This window comes from Homo sapiens, chromosome 17 (assembly GCF_000001405.40).
Source record: "Homo sapiens chromosome 17, GRCh38.p14 Primary Assembly".
NCBI classification, from domain to species: Eukaryota; Metazoa; Chordata; class Mammalia; order Primates; family Hominidae; genus Homo; species Homo sapiens.
In genome coordinates this window covers 63,408,444-63,428,026 of record NC_000017.11, presented here as the reverse complement: position 1 = coordinate 63,428,026, position 19,583 = coordinate 63,408,444, and the positions used below count along the sequence as shown (strand labels likewise).

Below are 19,583 nucleotides of genomic sequence, written 5' to 3'. Positions count from 1 at the left end.
TCAACAAATGTCACAGGCCTGTGCTGACAGCTCCTTAGAACGGCGTCTCTTGTCCACAGCTCTCTTGAGGGCCTACCACAGTGTCCAACTCTGAGGAGAGGAGGTGCTCAATAACGTGACCGAGCAAATAAATGCACAAAGGGGTGGCTCTGAATGTCCCACAAGAGACCAAGCAAATCATCGGGAATTTGGCCTTAGCCCTAACCTGCCCAATTCCTCCTGAGGGAGGGTGCCCCCATCACTGCATCCTCAGGAGGGTAAGCTTAAAAGCCAGCTCCCTGAAGAGGCTGTAATGGAAGGAGAAAAGCATCACAACACCATGGTTTTCCAAGTGTTAGCCATTTATAAATAAGTACATTTGCTTTCATACATACAGTTCCTTGTACAGATGACAATCTGTATACATGGGGCAGGAAAATGCATTCATTTGAACTTTTCACATCTATCTCACACAGCTCACATGTACAGACAATAAAACTGCTCAAGCAAGTACAGCAAAGGAAAATGTCTTTCCTTATACACAGGGGTAGATGCCTCTGTGGGGTGTGGGGCATCCCCACTGCACGGCTTCACAACTGTGTGGTGTTCAATATATCAGGAGAGAGAACAAACATGCATTGGATAATATACTGTACAGAGAAAGTCCTTTACATCTGAGTCATAGAAAACCTAAAGGAAAACTAAGTGCATTAAAGCTTTTTCCAGCAAGTGTCTTGAAAGGACAGCAAAGAGGAGGAAGAATCAAAATCATATTAGTACAAATCACTCTTTAATTGTAGACTGTACATGTCTGTACTAATTAAAATCATCTTGGATTTGGAGGAGACAGAACAGAGACAAAGATGCTGTGCTAGATGGAAAGGAGGCCACGCCTGAAAAGGCACCTGCCCTGAGCCTGATGAGGAACTGGCCTCACTCAGCAGGAATCAGCCAAAGGAAACAAAAAACAAAACAAAACCAGAACAGGAAGTGTAACTTACAGGATTTCCAAAATCACCTGTGAATGAAGTGGAGATCTGGAGCCGGCATCTCTTAACTTTTTTTTTCCCCCCAGTAAATTGGTATGCAATAAGGCAGGTACATTCAAGTACTGAATTTTCCAGAATTAACTCTTGTCTGGCGCTGGGGACCAAAGGGATTGAGTTGAGCCCCCTCTAACCAGACTTTCTGGTTAGCGATTAGCAAAAGAAAAATTCAGCCAGCAAGTGCTACAAAAACAAAGCAGCTAGGGCACTTCCGTTCCACAGAGTAGGTCTACCTGGAAAAATGAGCGCGGCGCTGGCCTGATCTCTACGCGTCCAGCGGCAGCCTGGCAAGTCAGCTCAGCGTCGGTATCAGAGTCAGCAGGAGGCAATGAGATGATGGGGTGAGGAAACATGAAAGTAACACTTGATTTTTGGTGTCCAATTATGCGTTCATTTGGTACTGACTTTCAAAGCTCTGACTGTGGCCACCATGTGGCCACAAGCATCTCAGGGTGGCTCACCTGCTGTGAGGCTTTGGACACCGAAATGAAGGTTACCAACACTTCAGCCCTTGAGTGGTCTGTATGACAAAAGGAGTTGATGAAAACCCAGTGATTATTCAAGTAGCTCTGCACAGTGGCTCCACCAGCCCCATTGTGCTTGTGTCCAGGCCCCCAGCCAGCCACCTTTTCTTGGGAGCAGCCAGAGCTGAGTTCAAGGCATTGCATGGTGAAGGGTTCCATGACACGTCTTTGCAGGTAGCTCTTGCCCCTAAGCCCTTTGTTCATTGTTGTTAGTCATGGTAGATGGTCGGTCTGGAATTCCTAGAGGAAGAGGAGAAAGAGCTGCACCTCCCAGTGAGCGAGCAGCAGGACCGCACAGCCCTCGGTGTGGAGGCAGCAGCCGGCTGCCTTTGCAGGTCGGTTTCTTGAGAAATGGGCAGCCCAGGAACAGACAGGCAGGGTGTGCGAGGCTGCTGGGCACTGGGAGCATCAAGAGGAGGCTGGGCACAGGGGCGGGCACCTCTTGCCCCCTGGGATAGCCTATTCCATTTTGTGGCAAAGATTCAGTGAGCACTGGTTTTGTCCAAGGCATTTCTGCAGTAGAAAAATAACTCTCTCTGAATCAAACCACCCAACTGTGACGCTTCTGGAGTTATAAAAGCTGGAGGCTGAGAGGAACTGACAGGAGGGAGGCTCATGGGGAAGAAGGGGCTTCTCCATGTACCCATCCCTCTACCAGAGCAAGGGAGCTCTGGTCAACCTTCTTCCAGCCTCTGCCTGGCTGAAGTCCAAAGCATGTAGTGTTCAAAGAGTTCGTCTTGCACAACTGGCACAGATGCACGAAGACCCCTTCCAGGCCTCTGTTGCCTTCTCCTGAACCTCTGAGCCCGCTTGCCTGTTGCCCTGGAAGCAGCTCCTCTCTCCCGAGGGGATGCCGCTGTTCTTTGCTACAAAACAAGCGCAGTGCAGAGCCACAGTGACACCTAGTGGTAAACTATGGTGAAGCACAAGTGACATCCACATAGCCCACTGTACGTGACTAAAATCTAAGGAAAAATACTTATGGATATTAAATTAGATACTGATTAATTTTTAATTTTTTCTATTGGGTACATCTCTGGAATATAAAAATACCAATATTTAGAGAGGGGCTCATAAACTACTATACAATATTAAGGACTGAGAATACCTTTCTCTAAGCTGTTCTGTTTACAATAATTTAGGAAAAGTGTTTAATAATCCAGGCTTAACTACATTAGCAAACTTGTATATCTGGACAACGACCTGGGGTACTGTACATGATTCTAATTAGTGGAATTTTCCTGAGCCATCGAGTTTAAGTTATACACATCTAAAAAGAGGGGCACATGGGGGAGGAGCGAGAAGGGTTTGTGCTCTATTAACTTGGGACTTTAATAGTGCACGTCTGCAACCCGGACAAGATACAACAGCAGATACAAAATGGTCTCCATTTTGTCATGCCAAATTCTCATGTTACACAGGTTTTCCCTTTACTTTGTAAATAAACATTAATTGTTAATTGTTAATTGTGTGCCTTACTGATCCAGTAGATAAAGTAACCGTGTCTCAGGAGTCCCTAAGAACATTGCTGGAAAAGCACTTTAAAATCACTGCAAATATTTTTCATATTAAAAAATTCTTAATCTTTTTGATGCTTATATACAAGTTATTTCTTGTGCTATAAATGTTGTGATCCACTGCTTGATGTCTTTCCTTTCCTTTTTTCTTGAAAAATACACTAAAAGACAAGAGCGGTTCTGCTATTTTCTAATGAAGACATTACTCACACTTAAATATCCAGTACTTCAGTTACAAATTCAAACAGTAAAGTGCACCCATTTATAGACATGATGTGATAGAAACCCATTAGTGCAAGAATCCTGGGCCAATGGAACATACAACTTGGTGAGAAACCTATTAAACTGAAGTTTGTCACCTCTGTCCTCCATTTCAGGGTGGTATGAATTGAGTAAGTTTCATCTGAAACATTTCCTCCCACCTGAAGCCAGACATGGACTCAGCGAGTGTTTGCTGCTGGGGAAGGGGCAGCTCTGAAATACAGTACTCGGATCATTCCATGGCAGTGAAGTAGCAAACAGGGCACAGGGCACAGGCAGTCTGCTTGTAAGGAAAAACGTCTCCTGCCCCAACAAGCTCTGGTTGGCATATTCTAGTCAAAAACAACTGGCATGCAGCAGTGATACCTACTCCCTCTTATGATGGCCAAAAAGAATGGCATTTTGACTGTTGACATTTTAGGTGTTTTGCCCATAGGGTATAGGCCCTAAATCTTTTTGTCCTGGAAAACTGAGAGACCCTGGGGAGAAGCGGCATCAGCGGCATATTTGTAAAGCTACAGGACCTGCTCATTCGCCTGGACAGGTGAGTGCGGGTGGTGTGTGGCGTTCCAAATGAGCAGGAGCACTTTCCTGACAGACACTGAGAAATTCTTCAAAATGCAGTGGCTCCTCAGCGAGAGGCGGTTTTAAGGAGTAAGATGTAAAGATGCCAGCAGTGCTGAGACCTGGCCAAAAAGCAATCTGAGAGGCCACTGGGCTCCTGGCTAGAGGTTGCCGCTAGAGCTACACATTTCATCTTCCTGATGTGAGAGAGAGGGGTATAGAGATGGAGAGAGGACGCTGATGCCTACCCTGGTCTAGCTGAGAAGGCGTCGCTGATGCCCACCCTGGTCTAGCTGAGAAAGCAGTCCTTAGGTATCAGGGAGTGTGGAAAGAGGCTGGGGCTTGAGTTAGTCTTGCTATTTGCTTTCAGCACAGAGACAAGTCCTGGCCTGTTTTAGGTTTGGGGGTGGAGAGGTCCGTCTATTTCGCAGAATCTAAATTAGTAAAGAAATGCTTCTGATCTCAGGTTCATGCTCCCTGTGTCTTAATGATCCCTTCAAAGGGCACTTACTTACTTACTTACTTACCAGACACATGGGACTGGTCGCAGCCAGATTTTTATTCAGGAAACTGCCCTTCCTGCAGCCCTTCCCTAACAGAGCAGAATGATTCCTAACAACAGAGAACGAATGCTCCTTTGTTTCGTTTCAGTTGCTTAGTTGAGTTGTTTAGTTGTAAGAGCTGATGTACAGCCAGTGCCAGGCCTGTGCCGAGGCTTTGGTTCCAATGTTCTTGCTATCCACTCAATAGTGGCCTCGCTCACTCAAAGGTCAGCCTACCAAATGACCACGAGACCTAGAAGATGTGTCTTCTAGACAAGCTTCAAGATCAGAAGCTTGCTGTCTATCTCATGCCCCCACCCAGGGCTGCAAAACAGGGCTGAAAGGGGTCTTTCTTCACCCTGAAACAGTTTTTGCTGCGTCTGACTTTAAAATATCACACTCTCATAAACACTCCTAGAAAAAGAAAAGAAACAGTTCCTGTAATAATAGATAATCAAACTATAGATCTCAAAATGGAAGTAGACAACAACGGGCATGACCCTGGGTGGAAATATTGGGACTCAGTCTCATGGTCCCAAGAGATTCCAATCTGCTTCTGAAAGAAACAATTTCTGTATGACACCATCTGGGTTTACAGGAAGAGGGCCACTAGAACAAAATCTGGCTGTAGGTGAAGATCCAACTAACGGGATTGTCACACCAGCCAGCCTTCGGTTAGAGTTTCCTTTTAGTGGAGTATGACACTCAGTGATGTATCAGGATCTAAAAAGTAGATGTCTCCAGAACAGACTTCCTATAGCCTTTCACTGAGAATCCAGAACAATCTTTTTTGTTTTTCTATGTATTCATTCCCTCCCCCACCCTGGAAAAGCAGCAGCTTTTAGTGGTTAATTGTCGGCTAAAAATCTAGAGAATAACTCTCAGTGAATTCTCTTAATAGCCACAATTCTCATCTAATTTCCTTGGCTGACTGCAATATTTAAAGGGCTGGCTGTTTTTGACATGTTCCTACAATGCCTCTTGGAAAATCAATGTAGTGACATTTTACATAATTATATTGGGGTTTTCTTCCAATTTAGCACTTAATTCTTCTCTCTCTGATCCTTTTACCCCCTAGGAAGACCAGCAATAATCCTAATGCACACTGCAGACCTGGTGGCTGCAGGGCGCTGGCGGTCTGGGGAGGGGCCACAGCATGAGAATGCGCTGCGGCTGGCTGTGTGGGTGACACTGGCTAAGGATGCAAAGGCAAAGGGGCATCGCACTCTTTCTAAAGTTTCTAGAAGAAAACGAACAAGAACACCTTATTTTTTAAAAAAGGAAAAAGACAATTACACAACAAGAACATCAGTGAAAGCGATTGTCTCCTGGAAAAAGCTGACCAGTGTGTCTGATCTCCCTGGGTTAAAGCACACAGCACGAAAATCTCCTCGTTGGCATCTGAAGAGAGGGAGAGAGCATGTGGCTGGGCACAGACAAGAGAAACTGAAGTCCTGGCTCCCGGGAGGCCGCTTCCCAGTCGGCTGCATGCAAAGGATTTCAGCATGTGGGCTGCCACCTCTGAACACCACACAGAAACTACATGAGAAATTAAGCCAGAGAACTACCTCGAATGTGGAAACCAAGCCTGAAAATGTGCAGTGAAAACATATGGGTCTCACTCCAACAAAACGTCTTTTAAACATTAGACTCCACGAACGGTCTCTTTGGTTTGATAGGGGATGTCTGCCCTTGCCGAGAGTCTCGGGACAGCTGCCTGTACAGGTTGTCCTGGTATGCCTGAGCCACAGGTAGAGTCCGAGCTACCTTCACGTCGGGATAGGAGGAGGCCTGGCTGACTCGCTCCAAGAGGTCTCCACGAGACCCGTTAGCCAGCATCCCATGGGGGCTGTAATAATCGTCCTCCAGCAAATGGCCATTCTGTGCATTGTTGGTTTTGTTATAAAAGGCAATGTTGCTGATGGATGATGGTGGACTGAAGGACTCAGGCTGAGGCAGGTTGCCTGGAGACGTGGGACTGAGGACGGTGTCCACAGATGACACTGCCCAGGTCCGATTCTGCTGGTGGAGGTGGGGGTACTGCTGAGTCCGTGCTGTTTTATCTATGATCCCCATGAATGGTGTGGTCCTGGATCGGGTGGGCTCACTGGGGTAACCTCCTTGAGTTGGAGACACTGGCGACAGCTCGTCACATGACCTCTCATATGCAGGTTTCAGTGGGATCTCCATTTGCTGGATGGAAGAAGATGGCCGGAAGGTCGGAGTTAGGTTGGAGGTGGAGGAGATACTATTGCTAGATGGAGAGAAGCGAAGGCCTACACTTTGGGAATGCAGCAACGGCCTGGGAGTTGGCGGGTGCGGTTTGATTTCGTTAGGGTTGACACTGATAGGTCTTCTGATTAAATGCGACACATCAGGGGAACCTAGTTGGCTGGAGGAGCGCTCCAGATCTAGTTTTGAGTGACAGACTGGGTAATAGGATGCTGACTGGCTGCGTCCGATCTGTGGTGTCTGGCTGTATCTCACGCCACCTCGGTATGCTGAGGAAGGTCGCTGTGGAAGATCCTCTTTGGTCAATCCTCCATGCTGACAGATGGCGCCTGCACTCAGGCTGGCTTGGACATGCTGCACCGGCCTTCCATCCCCTACGATTCCCCCAATTGACCCTTGATAAACCAACCGGCTCTGGCTGACTCCTATGTCTCCTTGTGAAGACTGGTATTTACTGGCCATTGAATGGGCTACTTGGCCATAGGCTCCTGTGGGGATGACGGTGCTTGAATGGACGGCTGGGCTGGGCTGGTTACTTCTCACAATCTGGGCCTTGGCAGGCTGTAGCCTGAGCCCTTGCTGGGGAACTGCCACAGGGAGCTGAGGCATCTGGTAGGGCCGCTGGGCCATTTTGGATAATGGAGATTTGGGTCTGCCAGGAAGCTGACTGACGCTTGTTTCCTGCTGATAGCGCACGGGTGAACCAGACTGGGATCTATAGACACTCATACTTTCAGCTGGAGGGCTGGCCCGATACTGAGGGCCTCTCCGGAGAGGGGAAGGGGGAGGGCTTGGGTATTCTTTGCCCTGTCCTCCCACAGGAGGGGGGCTGAAACGGTAAGATCCTCCCTGATGAGCCGGGGAAGTGTGTGGTGGGCTAGGCCTGTAATGTGAGTTCTGATGAGTTGGAGAAAGGGCAGGTGAGGTGGACTGATAGGTCTGTCTAGTGGGAGAGCCTACAGAACTACTGGACCGGAAGTCAAAAACCTGATGAGAGCCAAGAGGTGAGCTGGAGATGTAGGCTGAGTCCCGATGCGGGGGAGAGGAGGGTGGGCTCTGGATGACCGGGAGCCCCTGGCTGGGCCGGGCCTCTGTCTGGAGGCCAATGGAAACATTTTCAACATCCTGTTCCAGGTACTCCTCCTCGAATATATCCTGTACAGAGTATATGTCTTCATGCTGTGGCTCAGGTTCTGCTTCTTCCGGCAACTGCTGCTGAGGCTGCGGTGGCGGCGGTGGCTGCTGTGGCTGCTGCATCTGTCTACACTCTTCTTCCACTCTCAGCAGAAGTCTCTGGATCTCACGGTTGTTGGGACACAGCTTGATGGCCTCGTTCAGGTCCTCTAAGGCTGCTGCGAACTGTCTGCTTGACAAAATGTGAACACAGGAACTGGAGTTATTCTGAATCCAGAGAAATCACCAAGAGCTGAGAACATGGTCACTATCTCAGAGAGCTGTGGTGGCGTCTGTGGGAGTCTGGGGTATTTCGGTTTAGTTGGATTTATAGGGAAGGAAACAGGAAGACTCATTCTGGAAGAGTCCGAATGATTCCCTAACCCATTCGGCCTCCATCTTCCTTCTGGCCTCTCTGGGAATAGTGGAGAAATGCCCCATTTTGTCAGTCCAGCCAGGCCCTTCGGGAAGTTGTTTTGGTGCCCAAACACACACCAGGCAGTATGAGAGTTGGGTGGGGTTGTCATTTACAGGGTCACTGTCAAGTAGCTTAGGAACAAAAAAAACTACATATTTAAAAATCTTGCTGATCCAGCAGAAATTTTTCTTTATATTCTCAATATTTTAGCTCCAAATTTCAGGCCTGTTCTACTCTAGGCAAGAACCCTGTCCTCTGCCCTTTCTAACCCTCATCTCTCAGAATTGCTGTGTCTCCATTTGCTCTATCAAAGTGGGGCAGGCATTAGGCTTGCTGACTAGGTCACTCGGGGCTGGAGCTGAGCTGACTCCAAGGAGACTCTAATTTACAAATGAAGAAATGAACTGTCAGAGACATTCCCATCTTCTCTACTAATATCACCTGACAGGGGCAACTGACCTTGTGAAAAAGGAACTACCCAGAGGGAAGGAGAATTTCAGTCAGATTTCTGTGAGGACTTCGTTGCCCCAGCTAGGTAAGAGTGCGATCACTGCCACCACCATCACTAGCCTCAAGCTGGGTGTGATTTTCGGGACCATGTGCCCCTGGCCATAGCAGTGAACCTGAAGCAGTTCTTTCCCATGCAGCTGGGGAGGAGGAGGGCAGGAGGCATAAGAGACAGTGACAAGTTACACAAAGATCACTGATGGCAGGTTCTAGGTTATTCTGGGAGCTTTTCTGCCCAGTGGCCAAACTAAAGCAGATGGGCACAAGGAATGTGGAATGGTGTTCTCTTAGAGGGTCCTCTCCATCCTGGCAGCAAGGACCTCTTGACTCTGTGTGTGTGTGGTGGGTGATGGTTTAGGTGGAAGGGGGTCTGATGCCACCAGACTTGAGGAGAGCCCCAGAGGGAAGACTAACTAATCCGGGATTCCTCAAACGCCTATGGGAGAAGGAAGAGGAACCTGTGATGTTAAGTGAACCATCCTACTTTCCCTCTAAAGCGGGGGTGGGGTGCTCTGCTTAAGTGATTTCTTTAAGTCGCCGTTGTCTCTTTGTGCTAGCTGCTCTGGGGGTTGAAAAATGCCTGAGATACGGCAGAGGCTTCTTGGAAGAAGCTGCCATTCTCCAGTGAAAAAGTGTTTTTCTCCCGAAGTGAAACATTCGTGGCCTCCACAGCCCAGCAGATTTGCTGATCTTGAGCTGAGGGCTGTGCTATGGGAGCCATCCCCAAAGCTTGGCCCTGACAGTTCTCAAGGACAGAGATGTATTTGGGTACATATGCCCCAGGGTGGCCGACGCTGCCTTGGCCAAATTTTCAGAAAAGAGACCTCTTGCTTTCACCCTCTCTCTCTCTCCTCACCTGCTGCTGCGTTTTGCCCTTGCTCTCGCATAGTAAGCTTCATAAGATTTCGGTTTCAGCTCCAGGGCCTTAGTAGCAAATTCCTCCGCCATTCCAAAATCCTGTCATTACAATAGGTGTGCAAATGAGTCATTGATGAGATATAAAAAATAGACAACTTGGGAATAAAACAAATTATTTGTACATTTTTTGACATTCATGGATGGAACGCCTGGGACGCTAGACGTGCCTGACATGGCTCAAGCCGCGTGGCCTGTGGACTGAAAGTTCCTTCTGCCTTTGTCCTGTGTAGCGCTGCGACTGCTCACTGGACTTTATCTGCCCAGAATATTAAAATAGTTTTAATTTTCCCTCTTTTTGCCTTTCTAATAAAGTTCTCAGCCCGGAAGCCAAACACCAACCCTTTCCAGTGAAGCTCCTGAAGTTATCCATGCATGTAGGAGGCAAACGCACACATGTCCACATTTCACGTGGACCCTGGTCTGAGCCCCACACCTTCCTGCTACATGCACTACACTGTGGCTTTCTAAGGGACAGGTGAGAAGGTGTCCTGTAAAGTCCGGGAGGATGACGTCTGTAAAGGAAACTGCACTGACTACAGAGACTAGAGGGAGAGGGGGTGTCAGACAGACCTGGGTTCAATTCTCTGACCAGCTTCATAACCCCCAAGTGTATAGTGTATTTTCTCATCCATACCTACCCCGGGGGTAGGATCAAGTGTGATACAGTATTTAAAAGCCCTGCACAGTTCCCGGCACATAGTAGGTGCTCATTAATTATCGTTTTCTTTCTATTTCACAGAGGCTTCTCTGATCTGTTCCTTTTTTTAACTGGTTCCTTACTTAGGAAACACTTAAAATTAAAAATAAAACAAAACAAGAGAAGACCCCAGCTGTGACTGAGGTCTGTGCTCTCCCTAGAGGAACACGCTCACAGGCATGTCATTCCTGAGAACCCCTGGAAACAGAGACTGGGGGGTGGGGTGGGGAACAACGCCGACTAGGCAGCCTATGGTTTTCAGTATTCCCTTAAATACTAAGCTAAAAGAGAAGGCTTTCCCCTTCTTTTAGTGTCAAAGCCACAGTATAGCATGGTAGCCTCTGGTTATGGTCATGAGTCCTAAGGCAGAAAACAAGGCCTTGGGCAGAACAAAGGCCCTGGGGCATAGGTAAAAAAATTTTTTAAAAGTTGATGGGAAATCCTCTACCTAAGAAGACAGACGTCTGGTGTTTGGCACAGTATTGGCCCAGGAGGTGATTAACAACCGCTTCTGAACAAATGTGGAGCTAGAAAGAATTTCAGCTTTTATGGGTCACCCTCTCCCTGCTCTGCTTCCAGCCTTACCCTTTTATTTGTTCTTTTGGGACCATCATTATTCCTAAAAATATGAGGGCATTTTTAAAAAGTCTATTATTTGGTAGGGAAAAGAGATCAGTGGGTTGGCAGCAACTTCTGAGCTTTGCCTCATCCTCATCGGCTGGTGCAGGGGAGGCCTTGGTGCTGTTCCTTTCATTTCACAGGAGACCCCAAGAGCATGAAAATCTGTCTCCCGAGACCGCCACCTTCTCCCTTCCCGGGGTTGGGGGGCCTCTTCCACATCCCCACTTCCCTCAGCACCCTGGAGCAACTCTGCCTCTGAGGGCCATGGCCGTGTTCTCTGAGACAGTCAGGTTTAACTCTGCCTCTGAAGGTCATGGCTGTGTTCTCTGAGATAGGTTTAACTCTGCCTCTGAAGGTCATGGCTGTGTTCTCTGAGACAGTCAGGTTTAACTCTGCCTCTGAAGGTCATGGCTATGTTCTCTGAGACAGTCAGGTTTAACTCAGGTTCCTTCCAGTGTCAGGGTTTAGGGTCTGGAATGGATGATCTAAAGGTTACACACACAAATCTTTCTGGAAGATCCCTGGCCATGAGGTTCAAATCTTGCTTCTGTCCAGCTGAGTTTTTAATTGATCAATACATCTGTTTGGCTTGGATTATTTTTATCTCCTGAGGAACTGTGAGACCTCAGGCAGGTAGATGTCAGAGACTCCTGACACAATCTTAGCTATTTCCAAAACCTGAGAGAGGGTTCTTGGCTTGGAGTGTCTTCACGTTAAAGGGCAGTGGCTGAGGGAGCAGTGTCTGGGGACATGTGAGATGGGTCTGCAAGGTAGGCAGGAAGGACCGTGGCTTACCAGGGAGACGATAAAGGTCCAGGGGGAGTTCTGAGATTCCCCCTAGGACAAGAAGGGACATAGCATGCTGGGATACAAAGATGAGGAAAGAGGCGAAAAGTTCGATAGCCTCAGAAATTAAACCTTCAAGACCATGGTCCAAGCCCTCTCCTTAGCCCTTCTTCAAATGATAAGGGAATATACCTGAGAGTAATGACTACAATTCACATCTAATTGCAACTGGAATTCTAGTGACCACTGCTCTCACATTTTCCCAAAGACCAGAACACTGACTTGGTGGTATGGGGGTGGGAAAGATGGTATTCTCATCACTTTCAGTTAAATTATGAACATTCAGAAAGCTGCAAAGTACTCGCAGCATTAATTTCTGTACAGTTTGAGATACAGATTGTACTTAGACTTGATTTCTTTCAAATTGCAAATGTCAGTGCTCTGTGAAGGACAACCAAGTTCCAAATGGGGCAGAGGAGGATTTCAGGGGCCTGGTAAAAGCTAGTGAGTGACACAGGCTATCAGCTACCAGGATTGCAGAAAGGAGTTGGGGTGACAGGGACTTACGTTCATTTTCCTGCGACACCGAGAGAGGTTGAGGAGGAGAGACACCTTTAGTTCCCGGAAAGTTTTCAAGTCCTCACCAAACCCTTCTCTAGGGAACTTCTTCAGGGCGTACTGGTAGCGCTGGGCAGCTTCCTTTACTTTACCTTTCTAATGGGAGCACAAGATGGCGAAACACACAGTTGGTCTGCTGAACAGCTGAGGAAGTGTGGTCCCCACTCCCTTCTTCTTCTCAGCAGCTGTTACTAAGGGCTAACCCTCCCAAACGCCAGCCTAGAGAGGAGTTCTGGCCCTGATGGTGAGGGCAGAAGGGTCTAGTCTTTTCTATAGGAAACTCACCTGGCAGGAAAGGCAAGGTTGAGGGGATACCCAAGATACAAGCCAGGGAGGCAAAGCCTTGGCAAATGGAAGGCCCTGGACCCTGACTTCCCAACTGGATTCCAAAGAGGCTGACCATGCTCATTTCAAAGTTCCTTTGCTCTCTATAACACATATGACTTCCTAACCCCAAGCACTCCAAAGTTATTACTTCCTCCTTAATTTCTGGCTTGTCTGGAGAACTGTTTTTTTGGTCTGACGCTCCACCTGGCCAGCCCTCTAGAAGTCACTCTCTTCCTCATGAAGGATGTGGGAGCTAAAGCAGTCTAGCAGTTGCTTCCCTAATCTCATGGCATAAAATAATACCAATCAGTGTTCCCCATTTTTGGAAAGGCATGGAGTAGGGTGGCAGTAGAAAAGTGAAGTTTAGAGTTTGTGATTCCATCTGATGTTGCAGGAGGGATTATCCAAGAGGAAGTAAATCTATGACCAATTTAGAGATCTGGCCACAGCGACCTTGAACTTTTCTTCCACTTTGTATCTGAAAATCTATAAGCTGAGACCAGAAAGATGCAGGCGGCATCTCCCACCCCTTTAGCTGATCTTTATCCACTCTATTCCTTCTCTATAGTTACAACTCCACAGGGATCCCAGTCTTTTACTTTTCCCTTAGCACCATTCACTAAGGAGAGATTTGGAGTCTTTCAAGGTAGAATTCTGAGGGGAACAATAATGGCACTGCATATTTTCATTAAGAGGACTCCTCGCCTCAGAATACCAGAAGTTATGCTATAACCAGGACATAATCTGAGAGTAATGCCATTGTGAAGTCCATAAATATGACATCTAGGGTAATGAGGACCTTCTATGAAGTCACGTAAAATCAAGGTTGGGCCAGGGCTTAAGCTTCCTGAAAGCCTGGGAGTCCTAGATTACCGTGACTCATTCAAAGGGTACTTAGAAGATAGAATTCTGCTCCTAGGAACTTGTACACTCCTGACACAGGTGAGAATAATATGCTTCACAACTATTTCTCCTTATCTTTTAGTCTTGGGGAAGTGTCAGTGATGACTGCTGCCAAAAACTGGGTTGGATTTGTATGAAGCTTCGGGACAGGGTAATCCAGCTGATCCAGTGCGATGACTTTGACATGTAATAGACCAAGGAATTCATTTGTGTCAGGGTATGGAGCCTTCAGCTTGGACTGTGAGTACAAAAAGCCTCCACAGTTTTTGTTATTGTCATTCAGTGAATGATTTCAAACAAATCTTATAATTGCTATTTGTCTTGGTTTCCTTATCTTATTCAAGGATGCTGATAAGCTATTGTTACTATATACTTTTTAATCTATGTATATATTATGACATATGAAAGCTAGGATCAACATACTGGAAATAGCTATACTACATAATTTTACTTTGACTTGTCTCATGAGTTTCCAGATCCTACCTAACAGATTCCATGTAAAAATCGACAAAACCATGGGTGAGTGACCAGGTGAAACCAGGGCTTTAGATTGATCAGCTGCAGGCAACTATAGGCTACTCTTGCTCTCTTGGTAAGGCAGAACCCCAGGATCCCCAACATATGAGGCCATCACTGAGGAACAGTAGTTTCCCTTTGCCTCTACGCAAAGGATGAGAATTATCAAGACTTTGTAAGATTCTACACATGGAAAACAGTCAGTGGCTGTTCTGAAGAAACTGTGTCCCTCCCTCCCCTCACCTTATAAAACATGTCCCCCTCTTCCATCAGCTTGCTCAACAGGATGATCATGATGTCTGGCTTGGAGGTGGCCATCGCCCATGTGGCTGGACCTGTAGTGTACAGGATGCATGATGGGTAAAAAACTCATACAATGTAAGGGTGGTAGGAAGCTAGGTGAAAAAAATACCCTAGGGGAATTTCTGCTGAGAGAACAACTTGCTCCACAATTAGTACCTCATCTTTTAGACCTGGGAGTATTTTAGTAACTCCCACTGCCAAGAAGCTGCATTGGATTTGTATTCACCTTAAAATAAGAATACTTGAACCATGTGAGCCTGCCCCACGCGAGGGCAGCAAAGCCTGCGTGCTGCATGTGGGCAAGCAATGGCTCAGTTTGGAATTATTTTAAATAAGGAATTGGGAGGAAGGATTTATATTAAACATTACCACAGGATTTGAAAAGTCCAAAAAGGGTAATTTATTTTGGATTTGGGACTCAAAACCCCCAGATGTTTAGCCTCTTAACTTTAAAATATGTACTTTGCAGAAGGGAAACCACTGATAACTCTAAAGTTTCCCTTAAATGATAAGTACCAACTAGGACTCCCCGGGATTCACTTTGAAGCAGGAGCACAGTTCGAATGTCAATCAGATGTGAAACAAACCAACATTACTGAGGATGACTTTACCCACAAAAAGAAAGAAAAGGTTAAATTGATTAGTTTACAAATGCCTGAATTATTTACAAACTATGCTTTTCAAGGTTAGTTATCAAAAGTTCAAGTTATTCTCTACAACAGTCATTAAAAAAAATCTTCTTTTAAGGTGAAGTAAATTAAAAGATTAGAGGTGTAGGGAACTCATGCAGGCTAAACCAAAGAGGAGAAGGCAAAGCTGACCAAGCCATCAGACCACGCCTGATGCTGACAGCGGTGAAATATACCTCGTGGGCGACTCGGTAACGTCTGACAACCTTCAAAGAAAGGAGAAAACAAAAAGTTGTAGGAGAGGAAAAAAAAATGGATGAAGGTGAAAAAAAAAAAAAGAAGGAAAAAGCAGCAGTGAGAGGCAGGCAGCACAAAGCCAGCATATCAGCCAACCCTCGTCTATAGGTCTGTGGGCTTGGGGAGCAGCTGGGACAGCGGCAGCAGGGACTTGAGTCTGAAGCACATTCAGAGCAAGGGAAAGCAAAGGCTCACGGCAGCGCAGAGATCCAGGATGCTGATAGAGTGGGGCTGGAACAGAGGCAGTGCTGAGAGGTGCTTAAGGCCAGAGCAGCCTCCTGGCTAAGGCTACAAGGGACATGGTAGAGAACCACGTGGTTCTGGACACAGGGGACTGCAGACCATGGCTCAGATGGCGCTTTCCCTGGGCCAAGAGCCTCTCTGTTCACTTGGACAATAATTGGGCCAGGGAGGAGGGGGAACTATATACACTCACACCAAATACCCAGGGCAGCCAGACCACTGGACCAGTCTGGCCCCTGGGCACAGATGGCCAACATCCTCTTCCCTTCTCCTACCTATCTTGGCTCCTTTCTTCAGAAGAGTGACAACAACAGAAGTGTTCCGGCACCCCACTGCCCTATCCAAAGGGCGCATTCCACTGTAGTCAACGTGCTCGATCATGGCCCCATGATCTACCAGGAACTGGACCTAGGACACGGATCAAGCAGAGAAGTTAGGACAGGCGTAATGGCTCAGCACTGTTCCACCGAGGGCTCTGGCTGCTGCCTGCCCTTTTTCAACTGCTGGCCTACCCCAGGCTATGCTGCCATGTATTTCAGGCCTTAGCTATATCCTTGATCTTTAACAGCATTTTGAATATTCTTGCTCTCTAGCAAGTATAGATCTGAGAGCTCTGTATCAGGAATCATCAATACATCACTCCACTTTCAACCCCAGGTAGTATGGATGGAGAATAGCCCCTCTCTCTGCTCTCTTGAGGCTTGTTTAAAGGTACTTACCACCTCAGCATCGCCATAGAAAGCTGCCAGATCCAGTGGGGTACGGCCATTCTTGTCAGCATGGTCTGTGGCAGCTCCGTTATCCACCAGAGAACGTACTACTGAGAGATGGCCCTTCAAACAAGCCCAGCTGAGGGCTGTCAATCCTTCTTTGTCCATAAGAGCAATGGAGGCACCTGCAAAGGCAAGTGATAGCACAGGGCTGAGGAGACATGGAATCACACAGCAGGAGGGGAAGTACGCTGAAGGGGCATGCTCCTGCAAAGAACACTGCTCGTTTCTGGACTATTTCCATTTTAAGACTGATGCTGGTATGCCAGTTGTATCTCAACTGTTAAAAGTTCATCCTATAAGCTTTCAATAAAACAGATTCCAGTCGTTTTACTGAGTATTCAGGGTCATCCACAGTCTATTCCTAATTACTCTCTATACCTGTTTTATTATTCCCCTGTGAGAATCCTCCACTTTGGCCAAATGGATGTGCTCACTGCCTCTCGGATCTCCCGTCAATCCTCCCGCATCCTCACTCTCTGCCTCTCGGATCTCCCGTAAATCCTCCTGCATCCTCACTCTTGGTCATGCTGCTCCATGTGTGGAAGAGCTTTTCTTCCCCCATGACTTGCCTCACTTCTCATTCTCTAGGAACTATCTCCATCCTCCTGCCTCTAAGAAGCTTCTCACAGTTCACTGCTACCTCATCTTAAGTATGCTTAACATAAGTCAACTTATTCCATTATTTCTTTTTATGTATACTATTTGCATGTAATAAATTCTCAATGAGCATTTTCTTCTGCTTCTTTTTTTTTTTTTTTTTTTTTTTTTTTTTGAGATGGAGTCTTGCTCCGTTGCCCTGGCTGGAGTGCAGTGGCCCAATCTTGGCTCACTGCAACCTCCACCTCCCGGGTTCAGACAATTCTCCTGCCTCAGCCTCCTAAGTAGCTGGGATTAAAGGCATGCACCACCATGCCTGGCTAATTTTTGTATTTTTAGTAGAGATGGGGTTCACCATGTTGGCCAGGCTGGTCTTGAACTCCTGACCTCAAGTGATCCACCTGCCTCGGCCCTCACTGCACCAGAGTTCGGTGAATGTTTTCTGAGCTGAGCAGAAGCCTTCCATTGATAATAGTGCTAACTCCTTGAGACAGTCTCATCAAATAGGAGCCCAGGACATGTTTGTCATTGATCACGATGCCAGGGCCCCTTCTCCCTCCCCAGGTGGGGGAAATAAACACGAGAGGACACTGAGCCCAGGACAAGAAAGAAATCTAGAGTTTAATCTAATAAAGTTAAATTCATAGAATCAAAGAATAAAATGGTGGTTACCAGAAACTAGGAGATGGGGGGGGGGGATTGGAGAGATGTTGGTCAAAGACACAAAATTCACTTAGAAAGAAGAAATAAGTTCAAGAGATCTACGGTACTAGTTACTAACTAGTACACTAAATCTACTCTATAGTTAACTATAGTCATAGTGATAGTTAATAACAATATATACTTGAAAACTGTTGTGAAAGTACATTTTAAGCATTTTCACCAGAAGAAAAAAGTGTGTAAGGTAATGCACACATTAAGTAGCTTGATTTAGCCATTCCACAATGTATACATATACAGCTTGAGTATCCCTCATCTGAAAATCTGATTTCAGAAATGCTCCACAATCTGAACCTTTTTGAGCACCAACATGACACTCAAAGGAAATACTCATTGCAGCATTTTGGATTTCACATTTTTGGATTAGAAATGCTCAACCAGTAAGTATAATGCAAATACTTCAAAATGCAAAAAATAAAATCCCAACAGAAGTGTTTCAGATAAGCGATATATAACTAAGCATTTCAGATAAGGGATATACAGCCTGCATCAAAACATCATGTTGTACACCATAAATACTGTTCCTTTTTATGGTTAGATATGTTTAGCTACACAAATACCACTGTGTTACAACTGTTTACAGTAACTCAGTGCAGTTAATACGCTGTACAGGTTTGTAGCCTAGGAGCACCAGGCTATACTATACAGCCTAGGTGTGTAGTAGGCTATACCATCTAGGATTGTGTAAGTGCACTCTATGATGTTTACAAATGACAAAATCACCTAAGGACACAATTCTTGGAATGCATTTCTCTGAACATCTCCCCTTTGTTAAGTGATACATAACTGCATATACCATTTTTACTTGTCAATTAAAAAAATAAATATTTGGCTGGGTGCAGTAACTCACACCTATAATCCCAGCACTTTTGGAGGCCGAGGTGGGAGGACTGCTTGAGGCCAGAAATCTGAGACCAGCCTGGGCAACATGGTGAGACTGTCTCTACAAAAAACTAAAAAATTAGCCAGGTGTGGTGGTGGTGTGAGCCTGTAGTCTTAGCTACTAGGAAGGCTGAGATGGGAGGATGAGATGGGAGGATCGCTTGAGCCCAGGGGTTCCAGGCTTTGGTGAGCTATGATCAGGCCACTGCACTCCAGCCTGGGTGATGGAGTGAGACCTTGCCTCTAAAAAAAGACAAAAACAAAAACAAAAAACAAATACAAATAAACAAAAAATTCAGAGTTTAAACTACTCAGCCTTATTCAATAACTCCATCCCCACTTTTAAATTCTCCACCCACCCTTTCATATTCTGGATCTGTTTCCCTTCAACATTTCTATTTTCACTTGAAAGGATCAAGCATACCTGACATGCTGTTTTGTAATCAGTCTAAAATCCAATATACATTTGGTTCTTAAGACCCAGACTGTAAGGCCTTCAATGGTAAGAAGCGAATCATTTACTTGCTAGAAGAGTACCTAAGACAACGCTTTTCACACAGTAGGCATGTCATATTTAACTACATCAGAGATCAACTTACTGCACCAGGACACTTGGCTGCCCCCTCAGCTGGACAGGATTCGGATGTCAGCTCAAGCTTAGCACCTGCCACAGCAGGCTCAGGGTTTACTCAGCAGTTATCTAGCCTATCACCTTTGCATCTCTGGAGGTCATTAGAGTCTATGGTTTCCCACAGGAGGATGAAAAGCTGGAAGGGACCATCCCTTAATCCTGATGAGAGCCATTTATGTAATGGTATAGTTTGCAATTAAAACACTGACTCTAATATGGAATAAGTTTAAATACGGAACAGAATCCAAGGCGTTTTCTCAGATGCAACATCTATAAATTTCCTGGACAAAGTATCCAGTGGAGGAAAGAGTAGGATAAGAAAGTTTTGGATGTACATTACAGATGAACTGATTTTTCCA

The 19,583-nt window shown here is 46.2% G+C and overlaps 1 protein-coding gene and 1 long non-coding RNA gene across 22 annotated transcripts in view, besides 1 other annotated feature; one reads left to right on the top strand and one right to left on the bottom strand.

Annotated features, from left to right (window-relative positions):
• Positions 1–323: 323 nt before the first annotated feature.
• Positions 324–19,583, bottom strand: part of TANC2 (tetratricopeptide repeat, ankyrin repeat and coiled-coil containing 2) — a 461,469-nt gene continuing 442,209 nt past the window's right edge. For 8 of the 21 annotated variants that reach the window (XM_011524597.3, XM_011524600.3, XM_011524601.3 and 5 more), the window contains 7 exons: positions 16,341–16,516; positions 15,897–16,029; positions 15,318–15,347; positions 14,393–14,484; positions 12,353–12,499; positions 9,620–9,720; positions 324–8,031 (listed from right to left, as the gene is read on the bottom strand). In XM_011524597.3, coding sequence (XP_011522899.1) covers positions 6,072–8,031; positions 9,620–9,720; positions 12,353–12,499; positions 14,393–14,484; positions 15,318–15,347; positions 15,897–16,029; positions 16,341–16,516 — 2,639 coding nt within the window. In that variant the 3' untranslated portion in view covers positions 324–6,071. The remainder of the gene's footprint in view (positions 8,032–9,619; positions 9,721–12,352; positions 12,500–14,392; positions 14,485–15,317; positions 15,348–15,896; positions 16,030–16,340; positions 16,517–19,583) is intronic. The other 13 variants (NM_001394998.1, XM_047435731.1, XM_047435732.1 and 10 more) reach the window with 5 other exon arrangements.
• Positions 1,577–2,315: an enhancer, noted in NCBI's record as "H3K4me1 hESC enhancer chr17:61503073-61503811 (GRCh37/hg19 assembly coordinates)". NCBI's record gives its function as "activates a minimal SCP1, AML or CMV promoter by ChIP-STARR-seq in naive H9 embryonic stem cells {active_cell/tissue: H9 hESC(naive)}" and the evidence as "EXISTENCE:reporter gene assay evidence [ECO:0000049][PMID:30033119]".
• The window catches only part of LOC105371856 (uncharacterized), a 33,200-nt gene continuing 27,213 nt past the window's right edge, over positions 13,597–19,583 (top strand). Inside the window, exons 1-2 of the long non-coding RNA NR_188626.1 lie at positions 13,597–13,620; positions 13,716–13,873. This is a non-coding gene — a long non-coding RNA (uncharacterized LOC105371856). The remainder of the gene's footprint in view (positions 13,621–13,715; positions 13,874–19,583) is intronic.